Source organism: Homo sapiens, chromosome 5 (genome assembly GCF_000001405.40).
Source record: "Homo sapiens chromosome 5, GRCh38.p14 Primary Assembly".
In the NCBI taxonomy this organism is placed as follows: domain Eukaryota; kingdom Metazoa; phylum Chordata; class Mammalia; order Primates; family Hominidae; genus Homo; species Homo sapiens.
In genome coordinates, this window is record NC_000005.10 from 134,752,158 (window position 1) to 134,769,035 (window position 16,878).

The window sequence follows — 16,878 nt, forward strand, 5'->3', positions numbered from 1 at the left end:
TTACTCTTTAAGTCTTGATTTCTGTCATTTCATTTTGAACCAGGGTAATGAAGAATAATTTAAGTCTATTCTTCTGATTTGGGTGAAAGATTATAAGCACACATTTTTCCTGATTCCATAATGAATCTAGTATCTAAAGGGTTGTAAATCATCCTTAAAGTTGTCACTTCCTTAATCGCTGAGAAGATACTAGTGGTCTTCAATTGCACATTGCACATGTTTACTCTTTTGGTGCTTTTTTTTTTTTCCAAACAGTGTTTACCACTGTTGTCCAGGCTGGAGTGTAGTGGTAGCACAATCATGGCTCACTGGAGCCTTGATTGACCTCCTGGGCTCAAGCAATCCTCCTGTCTCAGCCTCCCAAGTAACTGGGACCATTAATGCCTGGCTAATTTTTTGATTTTTTGTAGAGACAGGATCTTACCATGTTACCCAGGCTGGTCTCAAACTGGGCTCAAGCAGTCCTCCTGCCTTGGCCTCCCAAAATGCTAGGATTACAGGTATGAGCCATTGTGCCTGGCCTACTTTTCTTTCTTAAAAAAAAAAAATCATTTAGCCAGCTGACACATGCAAAATTTTAGTAATTGTAGATCATTATCAAATTTATATTTTGAAGACAGTTATAAGATATCTGTATCTATTGGTGCCATTTTTTGTCTTTAACTGATAGGCATCTCCCTGATCATTTGCTTGATTTGTTGAATAATATCAAGTAGAAATGAAAGTTTTTTTTGTTTGTTTGTGTTGTTTTTTTTTTTTCTGAGACAGAGTTTCGTTCTTGTTGCCCAGGCTGGAGTGCAATGGCACAATCTCGGCTCACTGTAGCCTCTGCCTCTGGGGTTCAAGCAATTCTCCTGCCTCAGCCTCCCGAGTAGCTGAGTTTATAGGCATGCACTACCACGCCCAGCTAATTTTGTATTTTTAGTAGAGACGGGGTTTCTCCATGTTGGTCAGGCTGGTCTGGAACTCCAAAGCTCAGGTGATCCACCTGCCTCGGCCTCCCAAAGTGCTGGGATTACAGGTGTAAGCCACTGCGCCCGGCCTGTTTTGTTGTGTTTTGTTTGACAGTTTCACTCTGTTGCCCAGGCTGGAGTGCAGTGGCATGATGTACAACCTCTGCCTCTCAGGTTCAAGCAGTGCTCACGCCTCAGCCTCCTGAGTAGTGAGTAGCTGGGATTACAGGCATTGCCACCATGCCTGGCTAATTTTTGTATTTTTAGTAGAGATGGCGGTTTCACCATGTTGGCCAGGCAGGTCTCAAACTCCTGACCTCAAGTGATCTGCCTGTCTCAGCCTCCCAATTTGCTGAGATTAAAAGTGTGAGGCCGGGCGTGGTGGCTCACGCCTGTAATTCCAGCACTTTGGGAAGCCGAGGCGGGCAGATCATGAGGTCAGGAGATCGAGACCATCCTGGCTAACACGGTGAAACCCCGTCTCTACTAAAAATACAAAAAATTAGCCAGGCATGGTGGCAGGCACCTGTAGTCCCAGCTACTCGGGAGGCTGAGGCAGGAGAATGGCATGAACCTGGGAGGCGGAGCTTGCAGTGAGCCAAGATCGTGCCACTGCACTCCAGCCTGGGCGACAGAGCAAGTCTCTGTCTCAAAAAAAAAAAAAAGTGTGAGCCACTGCAGCCGACCTGAAAGTTTCTTTTTTTTGAGACAAGGTCTCACTATGTTGCCCCTGTCGGAGTGCAGTGGCATGATCAGGGCTCACTGCAGCCTTGCTTTCCCAGGCCCAAGCAATCTTCCCACCTCAGCCTTGCAAGTAGCTGGGACCACAGGCATGTGCCACCACCCCTGGCTAATTTTTGTTTTGTTTTTTTCAGAACAGAGTCTCTGTCGCCCAGGCTGGAGTGCAGTGATGTCAGTCTCAGCTTACTGCAGCCTCTGCCCGCCCCCCGGGCTGGTTCAAGCGATTCTCATGCCTCAGCTTCCCGAGTAGCTGGGATTACAGATGCATGCCACCACATCTGGCTAATTTTTTGTATTTTTAGTAGAGACAGGTTTCACCATGTTGGCCAGGCTGGTCTCGAACTCCTGGCCTCATGTGATCCACCCACCTTGGCCTCCCAAAGTGCTGGGATTACAAGCGAGAACCACTGCGCCTGGCCTGGGAATTGAAGTTTCTTAGTGTTTGGAATAGTTTAAAACGTTTTTTATTTGGAAATTTCTGGGTTTTGAAATGTATATGGACTGGCTGGGCACCATGACTCATGCCTGTAATGCCAGCACTTTGGGAGGCCGAGGCGGGTGGATCACTTGAAGTCAGGAGTTTGAAACCAGCCTGGCCAACATGGTGAAACCCTGTCTCTACTAAAAAAACCAAACCAAAACAAAAAAAAATTAGCCAGGTGTGGTGGCGGGCGCGTCTGTAATCCCAGCTACTCAAGAGGCTGAGGCATGAGAATCACTTGAACCCGGGAGGCAGAGGTTGCAGTGAACTGAGATCGCGCCACTGCACTCCAGCCTGGACAACAGAGTGAGACTCTGTCTCAAAAAAAAAAAAAAAAGGTATATGGATTAAAACTAGAGGGACAAGGATGGTTGTTTAGAGGTGACATCTTGACCATGTAACCTAGTAGTTTTTTTAGTTCAATTAGTTGTGTAAATGGACATGTGTCATCACAGTTGGCACTAAAAACAGCAAGTGGGTTATTAGATATTCAATACTGGGTTAGTAAGTCAAGTCACAGTCAAAATCTGCTGCTTTGGAAAACAGGTTAGTTTACTGAAAGTGATGTATTAGAACACAGACTATAGTCATTTCTTTCACCTATCTAAATAGATAAAATCTTCCAGCCTCACACCTGTAATCCCAGCACTTTGGGAGGCCGAGGCAGCAGATCACCTGAGATCGAGAGTTCGCGACCAGCCTGACCAACATGGAGAAACCCCGTCTCTACTAAAAATACAAAATTAGCTGGGAGTGGTGGCTCATGCCTGTAATCCCAGCTATTTGGGAGGCTGAGGCAGGAGAATCGCTTGAACCTAGGAGGCAAGGTTGCAGTGAGTCGAGATCGCGCCATTGCACTCCAGCCTGGGCAACAAGAGTGAAACTCCGTCTCTAAAAAAAGAAAAAAAAAAGCCTTCCTCCAGGACAGACTTGATGTGAATTTACTATAAATATATTGTGGTGGAGTGGGGGTGGTGCACACCTGTAATCCCAGCACTTTGGGAGGCCAAGAGAGGCAGATCGCTTGAGACCAGGAGTCCAGGAGTTTGAGACCAGCTTGGGCAACATGGCGAAACCCTCTCTATGAAAAATACAAAAGTTAGCTGGTGGGGTGGTGTGTGCCTGTAGTCCCAGCTACTAGCTACTTGGGAAGTTGAGGCACAAGATTCGCTTGAACCTGGGAGGAGGCTGCAGTGAGCCGAGATCACAGTACTGCACTCCAGCCTGGGCAACAGAACCAGGCCCTGTCTCAAAAAAAAAAAAAAAAAAAAAAAAAATATATATATATATATATATATATATATATATAAAATATATATTCTATATATATTATATTAATGTAATATTAATTAGAATATATATTATATATATAAGAAATATTTAAGCCAGTTAGAATTGTCTTGTTAATGTGTTGTCTTAAAGGGGAGTTGGAAATAAAGTATCTTGAAGACAGCTCTGGCCTAAGTGTCAGATCTCTGGACTCTAGTTCCAGGTTAGATTCCAACAAGGTTAGTGATCTAGGATGAAATATGTTTCCTGAGTCTCAGTTTTGTTACTTAAAATCAAGAAGTTTGAGTTTGTGATTTTAAAAATCTATAACATTAATCCCATGATTCTTTTTATTATTATTTTTTGAGACAGAGTCTCGCTCTGTCGCACAGGCTGGAGTGCAGTGGCGCGATCTTGGCTCACTGCAACCTCTGTCTCCCGGTTTCAAGTGATTCTCATGCCTCAGCCTCCCGAGTAGCTGGGATTAGCACGCACCACCACACCCAGCTAATTTTTGTATCTTTAGTAGAGACATAATTTCACCATGTTGGCAAGGCTGGCCTTGAAGTCCTGCCCTCATGTGATCCACCCGCCTCAGCCTCCTAAAGTGCTGGGATGACAGTCATGAGCCACTGCATCTGGCCCTAATCCTGTGATTCTAAGCAATATTCAAATTGTGTTAATTTCAAAAATTAAGGACTTATTTCCATTCACTTCTGCATGGCCTCATCCAGTCCATGGCTTCAAATACTGTGTATTATACATTCTATAAAATGCTGAGGACCCATATCTCTCCCGCCTCTATTTGTAGCTGTTATTTCCTGGATGTCTAGTAGGCACCTCAAATATCACATGACTGAAACAAACTCAATGACTTTCTCTATTTCCTCCACTAAATCTGTTGCTTCCATGCTTTTCTCATCTCCACAAATTCACCACAGTCCACAATAGCTCTGTTGAAAACCTGGCAGTCATCTTTTATTCCTTCCTTTCCGTCATAGCTCACATCCAGTTTATCTATTGGCGCTTTGAGAGCTGCTTCCAGAATACACCCAGAATCTGATCACTTCTCAGTCTTCATTGTTTAAGCCACTGGTGGTTTTCTATGTCTTTTAGGTTGAAATCCACATTCCCTACCTGCAGCCCACATCCAAACAATTTACAGGGGGATTCCTAACCCTCCTTGGTGTCCATCCTGTCACTCATTAATTAGCTCAGGCCTTCTTACCCTTGGCATGGACTGCCAGAACCTCCAGTCTCTATCCCTCTTCAATGCTTCTCGCAGCTACCACAGGTGGGCAGCAAGCCACGGGGGGCGTGGGGAGCATAAACTCATCTTGGAGTGTCACTCGTTGGTTTGCTTTTTTTCTTTAATCAACTATGTTGAGGTAAAATTTACATACAATAAGTCATGTACAGTTAAAGGGTACAGTTCAGTGAATTTTGAAAAATGTGCAAATCTATTCAATGACCACTAAAATCAAGACACAGAACTTTTCCATCATCTTTAGGTGTAAGAAAGTAAAATAGTACAGAGGCAAGTAAAGTAAAAATATGAGCCTTTCTCCAACTCCATTATAGCTTTTTGCAAAAACAACTCAACATGGCCGGGCACGGTGGCTCATGCCTGTAATCCCAGCACTTTGGGAGGCCGAGGCGGGCAGGTCTCCTGAGGTCGAGAGTTCAAGACCAGCCTGACCAACATGGAGAAACCCCATCTCTACTAAAAATACAAAATAAGCTGGGGTGGTGGTGCATGCCTGTAATCCCAGCTACTTGGGAGGCTGAGGCAGGAGAATCGCTTGAACCCAGGAGGTGGAGGTTGTGGTGAGCTGAGCTCTCACCATTGCACTCCAGCCTGGGCAACAAAAGCGAAACTCCGTCTCAAAAAAAAAAAACAAAAAAAATTCAACATTTCTGTGTGTGTTGCATGAGACAATACATATACATTTTTTTGGTGCCCAAACTCTCGAATAATGTTCTCAATCTTGACTGTACTTCAGAATTACCTGGGAAGCTTAAAAATTCCCAGTGCACAAGAAGCACTCCAGGCCAATTAAATCAGAACATAGGGGTGGAACCCAGGCTTCTATTTTATTTACTAATATTTTAGAGATGAGATTTCTCTGTGCTACCCAGGCTGGAGTCATCATAGCTCACTGCAGCCTCAAACTCCTGGGCTCAAGTAATCTTCTTGCCTCAGCCTCCCTGGCTCAAATGATCCTCTCACCTCAGCCTCCCAAGTAGCTAGAACCACAGGCGTGCCAGCACACCTGGCTAATTATTTTGCTTATTTTTTGTAGAGGGTCTCGCTATGTTGCCCAGGTAGGTCTTGAATTCCTGGGCTCAAGCCATCCTCCTGCCTCGGCCTCCCAAAGTGCTGGGATTATAGGCATGAGCCACCATGGCTGGCCCTTTTTTTGTTTTTTTGTTTTATTTTTAAGCTTCCCAGTGCAAGCAATGTTGAGAACTAATCTTTTGCCAAAGTATTTTTAGCTCTTTGTTCTCTACTAGGTTAACACCTACCGGGTCTTCAAATCTCACCTCAGAGTTCACTTCCAAGGGAAACGTGTTTTCTGAATCCGTCTCCAATGGTGGACTCTCCTTGCTGTATTACTTCTGCTTGTGTTTTTAGTCAAGTCTATTATTATTACTATTTTCTTTGCAGAGACGAGGGCTACGTTGCCCAGGTCTTGAATTCCTGGGCTCAATAGATCCTCCCGCCTCAGCCTCCCAAAGTGCTGGGATTTCAGGCGTGAGCCACTGTGCTGGCTTTAGTCATCTGTTTCCCGGATAGACTGTGAGCTCCCCAGGATCTAGCACAAGCCTGGCATATGACAACATAAATAAATGAGTGAATGTATACATGAATAAAGAGCGTGTACGGAGAAAGTTGCCGCATTATTTAGCGCAAATTAAGGCAGACATCAGCCTGCCCAGGACGCCTCTTTGGCTCTGGCGCGAAACACCCTCACGGGCCGGCGAGGCTGACGCGCTGCGCTCCATCGCACTAATCAGCCGGGCGTGGTGCGGGCGCCGGGAAGACTGGGCGGGGCGAAGGCATCACCTTTCGATGGGGCCGGCGCTGTGCGTCCTCCAGTCGAGGTGGGGCGCTGTGGAAGAGCGGCAGCTTCCGGTCGGCTTTTCTCTTCCTTCGGCTGCCGGCGCCAGCACGTCCTGTTTTCGTTGGCCGCGCTGGGATGGCCGCCACAGCTGTAGGTGCTGCTAGTGTTTAGCGCTGGTCTTTGCCGGGCGTTGAGGGCAGCTCAGCCTCCTTGTTTGTCCGGTTCGCCTGTGCGTGGTACTCAAGGGCACCAGTATTCCCGCGGTCGGCAGCATGGGTCGGGAGTCACGGTGAGGCAGAGCGCCGAGCGGGCTAGCGGGCGAGCGGCTTCTTGGGGTCGTGAGAAGAGGCGGGAGTTGAGGTGGCCGCCGGGCCAGGCCTGGCGCGGCCCCACGTGCGGTCAGCGCTGCCCCGCGAGCATTGGAAGGGCTGGGGGACCTCGGCTGAGGGAATGGTTGTGTTTGGGCCAGCGACGGCTTCCCCTGCACTACCATCAGAGGGTTCGAGCCCCTGGAGCGGGAACAACCCTCCAGGACGTTAGTGATTGGGCACCACATCCCGCCACTTCAAGGGAGCCTGCCCTGATTACTTCAGTCAGAAGTGATCCCAGTTGGATTGCTTATTGCTTCGCGTTTCCAACATTTCCTCGACTCCTGTCATTCTGTATTTTAGTTCTTTGTGCGCGTATGATCTTTTCCCAAGTTACTTGAAAGGAGCGTGTGGGCAGACATTTTTACCGCATCGACAGCACTATACACGACTAGGCTTTTACTGGGCTACAATAAATACTTGTTGCGTGGGCATTTACTTCGCAAATAGATTTCGTATTTAAGCAGGTAACTTTGTTACCTGCTTTTCTGTCCTTTTGAAGTTGTGGACTATGAGCTCTTATTAGAACTCATTAGATCTCATCACAACTTTAGATTGTTGATAGATTGTTAGGAACCTTGAGATTTTTATGTTAAAAATGACTATTTGCTATGTATTTAGCAATGACTGAAAGATATTTTATGTCTAGGAACAATGAAGGCTTTTGTTGTTAGTGCTAACAGTTCTTTGTTGAGGTACAATTAACAATCAGGGAAATGGACAAAACGTAAGGGTAAAGCTTGATGAAATTTAGCAAATATATAAACCGTGTAATCATCACCTGGATGAAGATAAAAAATATTTCTTTAACTACAGAAAATTCCTGTGACGGTGTTTTAAATCTCCGGAAGGCTGTCCAGACCAGAAATCTGAAAGTGATATTTATTTGACTCATTCTTCTCTCTCACTACCCACAGCCTGTTAGATTCTACATCCTTTGCCCATTCTGGTTGTCCCTGACTTAATTGAGGCCCTAATTATTTATTGTCCAGACTACTACATCTGTTTTAAATTGATTCTCTGAATTGATTGTCTTCCTCTGTTGCTCTCCTAATTGTTAGATCCCTTACACTACAGCCAGAGTGACACTTCTGAAGTAGAGATAAGATGATGGCATGCCCCTGACTTAGTCTCCATTGGTTTCTACTGCTTCCAAGATGAAATTTAAACTCTATGACAGCCTTCAAGGCCCTTCACAAGAAGGTCCATTCTAGCCCGTCAGCCTTCTCCTTTACCTCTCTGGTGTGCATGGCCTGTGCTCTAGGTTTGTTCAGGGAATCATGAAAGGCTTAGAGGTGGGAAGGCGCAAGGTGTTAGAGAAATAGCTAAAAAGCCCAATTTTTCTGCATATGTAGGTTTCATGAAGGGATTTTATCTTTTTTGAGAAGTAGTAGGAGGTAGGTCCTGAATAGGACTTGGGCCCAGAAAGCGGGTGGATTGTAGATTTTGAAGATCAGAATTTGTTTGTGAACCTTTGAAGATTTTGAGTAAAAAGTGTGTAATAGAATCAGAATTCTCCTTAGCAGCAATGAGTAAGATTTAATGGAAAAGTAATAGAAACAGGAAGACTACAGTCTTTAAGAATCTCCTAGGTAGATATGTCTGATATAGAATAGTGACGGTTGGAACTCTGTGGAGGTGATATAATGTGAAGGGAATTACAGAGGTGAAATTGGTATTACTTGGTTGTTTTTTTGTTTTTGTTTTTGTTTTTGAGACAGAGTCTCGCTCTTTCGCCAGGCTGGAGTGCAGTGGTGGGATCTCGGCTCACTGCAAGCTCCGCCTCCAGGGTTCACGCCATTCTCCTGCCTCAGCCTCCCGAGTAGCTGGAACTACAGGCGCCTGCCACCGCGTCAGGCTAATTTTTGTATTTTTTAGTAGAGACGGGGTTTCACCGTGTTAGCCAGGGTGGTCTCGATCTCCTGACCTTGTGATCCACCCGCCTCGGCCTCCCAAAGTTCTGGGATTACAGGCGTGAGCCACCGCACCCGGCCTGTTTTTTTGTTTTTGAGACAGGGACTTGCTCTGTCTCCCAGGCTGGAGTGCATTGAAACAATCTTGGCTCACTGCAACCTATGCTTCCCAGGTTCAAGAGATCCTCCCACCTCAGCCTCCCGAATAGCTGGGACTGCAAGCGTGTGCCACCACGCTTTGCTAATTTTTGTATTTTTTGTAGAGACAGGGTTTCACCATGTTGCCCAGGCTGGTCTCAACTCCTGAGGTCAAGCTCTCTGCCCACCTTGGCCTGCCAAAATGCTGGGATTACAGGCATGAGCCGCTGTGCCCAGCCAATTGGTGTTTTATTTATTGTATCGAATGAGAGCAAGAGAAAAATATTGATGATGACTAATGTTTTGAGCCTAGTGACCGGAAGTTGGTACGATTAATCGTTTGGGGAGGGAAGGGTAACAAGTTTGGGTTTCTACAGATTGAACTTGAGGTGCTTGAGAGATAATCAGGTGCATTCATCTCCTAGTGATCTTATTTAGGTTTATAGCTTTAAATAGCCTTTGTACACTAATAGCTGTCCAGTTTATATTTCTAGAGAAACCTCTTCCTTGAACTACAGGCTAATATTTCAACTATATACTATATATCTCCACTTGGATACCTAATATTCTGATCCACCTTCTCCCTGGATTTCTCCCTCAGCCTTCCCATCTTGGTAAATGGCAACTGAGTGATTTCTCTCTTGCTGTCACACTTGACATTTAGTTCATCATTAAATCCCATCGGTGCTAGCTTCAAGATATCCAGATTTTGATATTTCTCAAAATCTTTCCACCTTCCATTTTGATCTATGCCACCACTATCTCATGCCTGGATGATTGCTATAGTGCTGGTCTTTGCTAATCCTGCCTATTCTTTCTCCTTTTGTCCTTGCCTCCCTTTGTTTGGTTTGTTCTCTCAGCAACCAGAATAATACTTTAAAAACATTAGGCCAGGTGCAGTGGCTCACACCTGTAATCCCAGCATTTTGGGATTACATTAAGTGGAAGGATTGCTTGAGCCCAGGAGTTTGAGACCATCCTGAGCAACATAGCAAGACTCCATCTCTACAAAAATGAAAAATAAAAAGAAATAAATAGGTGGGCATAGTGGCACACGCTTTTATGCTTTTGGTCCCAGCTACTTGGGAGGCTGAGGTGGGAAGATGCTTGAGGCCGGGAGGTTAAGACAATCCTGAGCAACATAGTGAGACACCATCTCTACCCAAAAAAAAAAAAAAAAAAAATTGGTGGGCGCGGTGGTGTGTGCCTTTGGTCTCAGCTACTCTGGAGATTGAGGTGGAAGGATTGCTGGGGCCCAGTAGGTTGAGGTTACAGTGAGTAGCAATTGAGCTGCTGCATTCCAGCCTGGGTGACAGAGTGAGACCTTGTCTCAAAAAAGAAATTTAAAAAAATGATAAAAAGGCTGCATGCGGTGGCTCATGCCTGTAATCCATCCCAGCACTTTGGGAGGCTGAGGCAGGTAGATCACCTGAGGTCAGGAGTTCCAGACCAGCCTGACCAATGTGGTGAAACTGCCTCATCTACTAAAGATACGAAACTGGCTGGGCGTGGTAGTATAGGCCTGTAATCCCAGCTGCTTGGGAGGCTGAGGTAGGAGGATTGCTTGAACCTGGGAGGCAGAGGTTGCAGTGAGCTGAGATGGTGCTATTGCATTCCAGCCTGGGCAACAAGAGTGCGACTCTGTCTCAAAAAAAATAAATAAAATAAAATAAAAATAATTAGCTGAGTGGCCGGGCGCAGTGGCCCAAGCCTGTAATCCCAGCACTTTGGGAGGCTGAGGCAGGTGGATCACGAGGTCAGGAGATCGAGACCATCCTGGCTAACATGGTGAAACCCCATCTCTTCTAAAAATGCAAAAAAAATTTAGCCTGGCGTAATGGCGGACGCCTATAGTCCTAGCTACTCGGGAGGCTGAGGCAGGAGAATGGTGTGAACCCGGGAGGTGGAGCTTGCAGTGAGCTGAGATTGTGCCACTGCACTCCAGCCTAGGCAACAGAGCCAGACTCTTTCTCAAAAAAAAAAAATAATAATAATAATTAGCTAAGTGTGGTGACGCATGCCTGAAGTTCCGGCTTCTTGGGAGGCTGAAGTGGGAGGATTGCTTGAGCCTCAGAGAGTTGAAGTTGCAGTGAACTGTGAGCACATCACTGCACTCTATCCTGGATAATAGAGTGAGGCCTGTTTCTAAAAATAAAAATAAAAACATTAATGAGGTTGTGTCACTCCTCTGCTTAAAGTCTTCCAGTAGATTTTCATCTTGGTGTAAAAGACAGAGTCCTTATATAATGGCCAGTAAGGCCTTCCAGGTTTGGCTTCCCTGCTGTTTTTCTGACCTCGTCTTATGGCACGCTGTGTCACTCTTTCAACACTAGCCACAACTGGCATCCTTGCTGTTCCTTAAACTCACCAGTCAAGCTTCCTCTTTAGGGACTTTGCACTTGTGCCTTTTGCGTGGAAAATTCCCTGTATATCTACATGGCTCCTTTATTTCCTCCAAGCCTCTGTAACAAATGTCATATTTATATTGTATATAAACATACTATATACAGTGTTTGTTTCTTCACTTGTCTGCCGTCTTTTCCTTTACCGGAGTGTAAGCTGCCTGGAGCTCAAAGGCAGGAGCTTGGTCTGTTTTGTTCACTGTCCTTGCCTCTCTTTCAAGACAGATTTTCCACCTCTACATGTGTCTGTGCTGAAGCAGAAGGGTTCATTTTTTCCCTCCTAATTTTAGAAAAATTCATAAAAAGTTCTTTGAGTGTTAAATTTGTCTGCTGAAATTATTTTTAGAAAAAATGTAATAAAATGTAATAGAAGCTAATGGTGTTTGCTGAACTTAATCTTTGACTTATTGTTCTAGCCACTATCGAAAACGATCGGCATCCCGGGGTCGCTCTGGAAGTCGGTCTAGAAGTCGCTCACCCTCAGACAAAAGAAGTAAACGTGGAGATGACAGACGGTCTAGAAGTAGAGATAGAGATAGGAGGAGAGAGAGGTCTCGTAGCAGGGATAAAAGAAGATCTCGGTCAAGGGACAGGAAGCGTCTGAGGTAAGACATTAATTAATTTCCAAAAGACGAGTGATAAATTGGGCCTTCTCGGCTATAGCAGGCTTCTTGAAAAGTATGTTTTCAACTGGAGTTTGGTGGCCCAATTGCAGGCCCTTTTCTTTATCCCCTACTTGTTTGATTAGACCCAGAAGGATGTGCCTACAAAGACTCTATCAAACAGTGTTTTTTTTTTTTTTTAATCTTTTTTGAGACAGAGCCTCACTCTGTTGCTCAGACTGGAGTGCAGTGGTATCATCTCTGCTCACTGCAACCTCCACCTCCTGGGTTCAAGCGATTCTCATGCCTAAGCCTGCCAAGTAGCTGGGATTTCAGATGTGCACCACCACACCTGTCTAATTTTTGTGTCTTTAAAAGAGACGGTGTTTTGCCATGTTGGCCAGGCTGCTCTCGATCTCCTGGCCTCATGTGATCCTCCCACCTTGGCCTCCCAAAGTGCTGGGATTACATGTGTGAGCCACCGTGTCCGACCATCAAACAGTGTTTTTAGTTTGGAAACTTTAGGCTGTATTTCCTGTAACCCAAAGACATCCCTTGAAGCCCTCTGAGGGACATACAAAATGAAGTAAAAAGTAAAGTAATAAGTTATATTCAAGAGGGTTCTATTCCAATTCTGCTCCAGGAGAGCTGACCAAGGTGTTAATTTTCTTTCCTTTTTTTTTTGCCACCCTTGTTGAAATTTGTAAAATTTCCTTCCTCTCTCCCTCCTTCCCTCCCTCCCTTCCTCCATCTCTCTCTTCCTTCCTCCCTATCTCCTTCCCTTCCACTCTCTCTCCCTTCCTCCCTCACTCTTTCTCTCTTTCTCTTTCTTTCTTCATTTTGCTAAACAGTGTGTTTAGAGCAGCCTCTAAAGCAGGCAGAAAAAGGAAACAAAGCAGACCCTCTCCAAGCCTCTTAAACTATTTTAATGAGCTGTCATAGATTTAAACTAAAGAGCGCCTTAATCTTTTTTTTTTTTTTAATTTATTTTTTTTTTGAGACAGAGTCTCACTCTGTCACCCAGGCTGGAGTGCAGTGGCACGATCTAGGCTCACTGGAACCTCTGCCTCCCGGGTTCAAGTGATTCTCATGCCTCAGCCTCTTGAGTAACTGGGATTACAGGCATGCTCCACAAAGCCTGGATAATTTTTGTATTTTTAATAGTGACAAAGTTGGCCAGGTATGGTGGCTCATGCCTGTAATCCCAGCACTTTGGGAGGCCAAGGTGGGTGAATCACGAGGTCAGGAGTTTGAGACCAGCCTGGCCAACATGGTGAAACCCCGTCTCTACTAAAAAAAAAAAAAAAAAAAAAATTAGCCAGGTGTGGTGGTGCATGCCTGTAAACCCAGCTGCTCGGGAAGCTGAGGCAGGAGACTTGCTTGAACCTGGGAGGTGGAGGTTGTAGTGAGCCGACATGGTGCCACTGTACTCCAGCCTGGGCGACAGATCAGGACTCCATCTCAAAACAGAAAAAAAGAAAATAATCTTCTGTGCACACCACACCCAGCCAATTAAAAAAAGCTTTTCATAGAGATGGGGGTCTTAACTGTGTTGCTAGTGGCCTCCCAAAGGGTTGGGACTACAGGTATGAGATACCATACCTTGCCCAGTTTCTCATTAAAATAGGAAAGGAAGACAAGATTGTGTTGTGAGTGGATCATAGAAAGAATTTAACTTTATCCTTTTCAGACATTGGAGTACATTGTTGTTACGTAGGATTCAGGGAAAATATTCACCCGTGACAATGTGGATAGCATTTTCACATTTTGTGGTCCTAGGAACAATTTCACACAATTAATTCAAGTACTTAAGTGAAAATGGTTATTTAACATTTGGTCTTTGACTTTTGGGTGTGAAAGTAGAATCACAAGATTTTAGAGCAAGAGGGATTTTAAAGATGTCTAGTGAAGTCTCCATATTTTATAGATGATGAAACTGAGACCCAGAAAGTTGGAGATCTGACCTTCATCATGTCATTAGTTACCAGGAGTAGCAGGATAGAAATTCTTGCCTCTTCATCTTCAGATTAGTGATCTTTTAGTAGACCCATTATGCCCATCCTTATACTTAGGTTTAGGCTATCTGAAACTAGATATTCTATCTTAGACCATCGATTTTCAATCGATGTTAATTACAGACTTATTATGGTTTTTTCACAAACATCTTTATGAAATTAGTATTCTCTGGCCTGGCATGGTGGCTCACGCCTGTAATCCCAGCACTTTGGGAGGCTGAGGCAGGCAGATCACCTGCGGTTGGGAGTTCGAGACCAGCCTGACCAACATGGAGAAACCCCATCTGTAAAAATACAAAATTGGCTGGGCATGGTGGTGCATGCCTGTAATCCCAGCTACTCAGGAGGCTGAGGCAAGAGAATCGCTTTAACCCAGGAGATGGAGGTTGTGGTGAGCTGAGATTGCGCCATTGCACTCCAGCCTGGGCAACAAGAGCAAAACTCTGTCTCCAAAAAAAAAAAAAAAATTAGCCGGGCATGGTGATGCACATCTGTAATCCCAGCTGCTGGGGAGGCTGAGGCAGGAGAATCACTTGAACCCAGAAGGCAGAGGTTGCAGTGAGCTGCAATTGTGCCACTGCACTCCAGCCTGGGTGACAGGTGTGAGACTTTGTCTTTAAAAAAATGAAAGAAATAAATTAGTATTCTCATTTTTTTCGTTGAGCACTTATAAGACTTGGCTTTACTTCATTGAGACCTCCACCTTTAATAATGGTAGTGATTAAGATTCTTTCAATGTGGGACAGAATCCCCTGATCTGAAATAGTAGCTCCATTTGGTCATAGAATAAATGAAAAGTGTCCCCCTTTCAGACGTTCCAGAAGTAGAGAGAGAGACAGAAGCCGAGAGCGAAGAAGATCTCGAAGTAGAGACAGGAGACGCTCAAGGAGTAGAAGCCGGGGCCGGCGATCCCGATCCTCCAGTCCTGGAAATAAAAGCAAGAAAACTGAGAATAGGTAATGTTATCATTGGGCTGCATCTATAGTGCAGACTGGGGACTGCTTCCCTTCTCTGCGCCTTTTTTTTTTTTCCCTGTAAGTTTGTATTTATAGAGAATTAACTGCATTTGGCTCCTACCATGAACTGTTGGCAGTGTTTTATTTTAATTGGCTATAATGTTTATAATTCAACTGGAAAATAATAGATTCTGTCAGTTTTAACATTCAATACATTGTATTCTTACTTAATACATAACTGTCAATCAGAAATGTATTTTATAGACATCTTTGTAGAAACTCTGTCATTTTCTTTTCAGGCAGGGTCTCACTCTGTTGCCCAGGCTGGAGTGAAGTGGCAAGAACATAGCTCACTAACCTTAAACTTGTAGACTCAAGCAATCCTCTCACCTAGGCCTCCAAAAGTCCTGGGATTATATGAAGAGGCAGACATAATATCCCAGCTAATTTTTATGTTTTTAGTGGAGATGGGGTTTTGGCATGTTTGCCAGGCTGGTCTCGAACTCCTGACCTCAAGTGATCTGCCCACCTCGGCTTCCCAAAGTGCTGGGATTACAGGCCTGAGCCACCGCGCCCAGCCAAGACTTGTCTTAAAAGTTAAGAAATTAGGCCAGGCGCGGTGGCTGACGCCTGTAATCCTTGCACTTTGGGAGGCCAAGGTGGGCGGATCACCTGAGGTTGGGAGTTGGCGACCAGCCTGACCATTGTGGATAAACCCCGTCTCTACTAAAAATACAAAATTAGCTGGGCGTGGTGGCGTATGCCTGTAATCCCAGCTACTCTGGAGGCTGAGGCCGGAGAATCGCTTGAACCCAGGAGGCAGAGGTTGCGGTGAGGTGAGATCATGCCGTTGCACTCCAGCCTGGGCAACAAGAGTGAAACTCCTTCTCAAAAAAAAAAAACAAAAAAAAGTTAACAGAAATTAAGACAATGTGCAATTTGTTTAGCAGTGGACAGACAGATTAGTGAACCATGTAAAGAGCCCAGAAAGGCATCCATACACATGGTAATTTGATAGATGACAGAGGTGATGATGTAATAAGTGAAGATTTTTTTTTTTTTTTTAACAGCCAAAGTCTCGTTCTGTTGCCCTGGCTGGAATGCAGTGGTGCAATCTCGGCTCACTGCAACCTTCGCCTCCCGGGTTCAAGTAATTCTCTTGCCTCAGCCTCCCGAGTAGCTGGGACTGCAGGTGTGTGCCAACATGCCCAGCTAATTTTTTGTATTTTTTAGTAGAGATGGGGTTTCACCGTGTTAGCCAGAATGGTCTCGATCTCCTGATCTCGTGATCCACCCGCCTCGGCCTCCCAAAGTGCTGGGATTAAAGGCGTGAGCCACCGTGCCTGGCCAGAAAAATTTTTAAATTGCTCTAGGGATATCTAGTATCCTTTTATGAAATAAGACTGCCTACCTTATTCTGTGTACAAAAAGCAATTCCAAGCAAAGACCAAATTAGATGGCAAAATTCTAAACCTTTTAGAAGTTTGTGCCAGAGAGTATCTTCTTCTTCACCTCTAGGTATCTTACATCAAATCTGGAAGGATTTCTAAACTACTTTAAAAAGCACCAATTATAAAGGAGAAAAAAGGTTGACTAATTTGATTACATTAAAATTAAGAAATTTTATTCATTATGAGATGCCGTAAGTTGGGGTGCGTAAACAAGTTGGGTTTATTCCAAGAATGGCAGGTTATTTTAACATTAAAAAATCATTAGAAGTCTGGGTGAAGTGGCTCACGCCTGTAATCCTAGCACTTTGGGAGGCCGAGGTGGATGGATCACGAGGTCAGGAGTTTGAGACCAGTCTGACCAACATGGTGAAACCTCGTCTTTACTAAAAGTAAAAAATTAGTCAGGTGTGGTGGCACACACCTGTGATCCCAGCTACTCGGGAGGCTGAGGCAGGAGAATCACTTGAAGCCGGGAGGTGGAGGTTGCAGTGAGCCGAGATTGCGCCACTGCACTCCAGCCTGGC

General features: G+C 44.9%; 1 protein-coding gene across 6 annotated transcripts in view, besides 1 other annotated feature; it reads left to right on the top strand.

The window, feature by feature from the left end:
- Positions 6,397-6,886: an enhancer, noted in NCBI's record as "active region_23162". NCBI's record gives its function as "activates an Ori minimal core promoter by ATAC-STARR-seq in GM12878 lymphoblastoid cells {active_cell/tissue: GM12878}" and the evidence as "EXISTENCE:reporter gene assay evidence [ECO:0000049][PMID:35858748]".
- DDX46 (DEAD-box helicase 46) overlaps positions 6,622-16,878 on the top strand; it is a 72,343-nt gene continuing 62,086 nt past the window's right edge. For 5 of the 6 annotated variants that reach the window (XR_948313.4, XR_007058668.1, NM_001300860.2 and 2 more), the window contains exons 1-3: positions 6,622-6,798; positions 11,747-11,935; positions 14,760-14,903. Coding sequence is in view for 3 of the 6 variants with exons in the window: in NM_001300860.2 (NP_001287789.1) it covers positions 6,782-6,798; positions 11,747-11,935; positions 14,760-14,903 (350 nt within the window). In the remaining 3 variants the exon portion in view is untranslated. The remainder of the gene's footprint in view (positions 6,799-11,746; positions 11,936-14,759; positions 14,904-16,878) is intronic. The other variant, NR_125341.2, reaches the window with a different exon arrangement.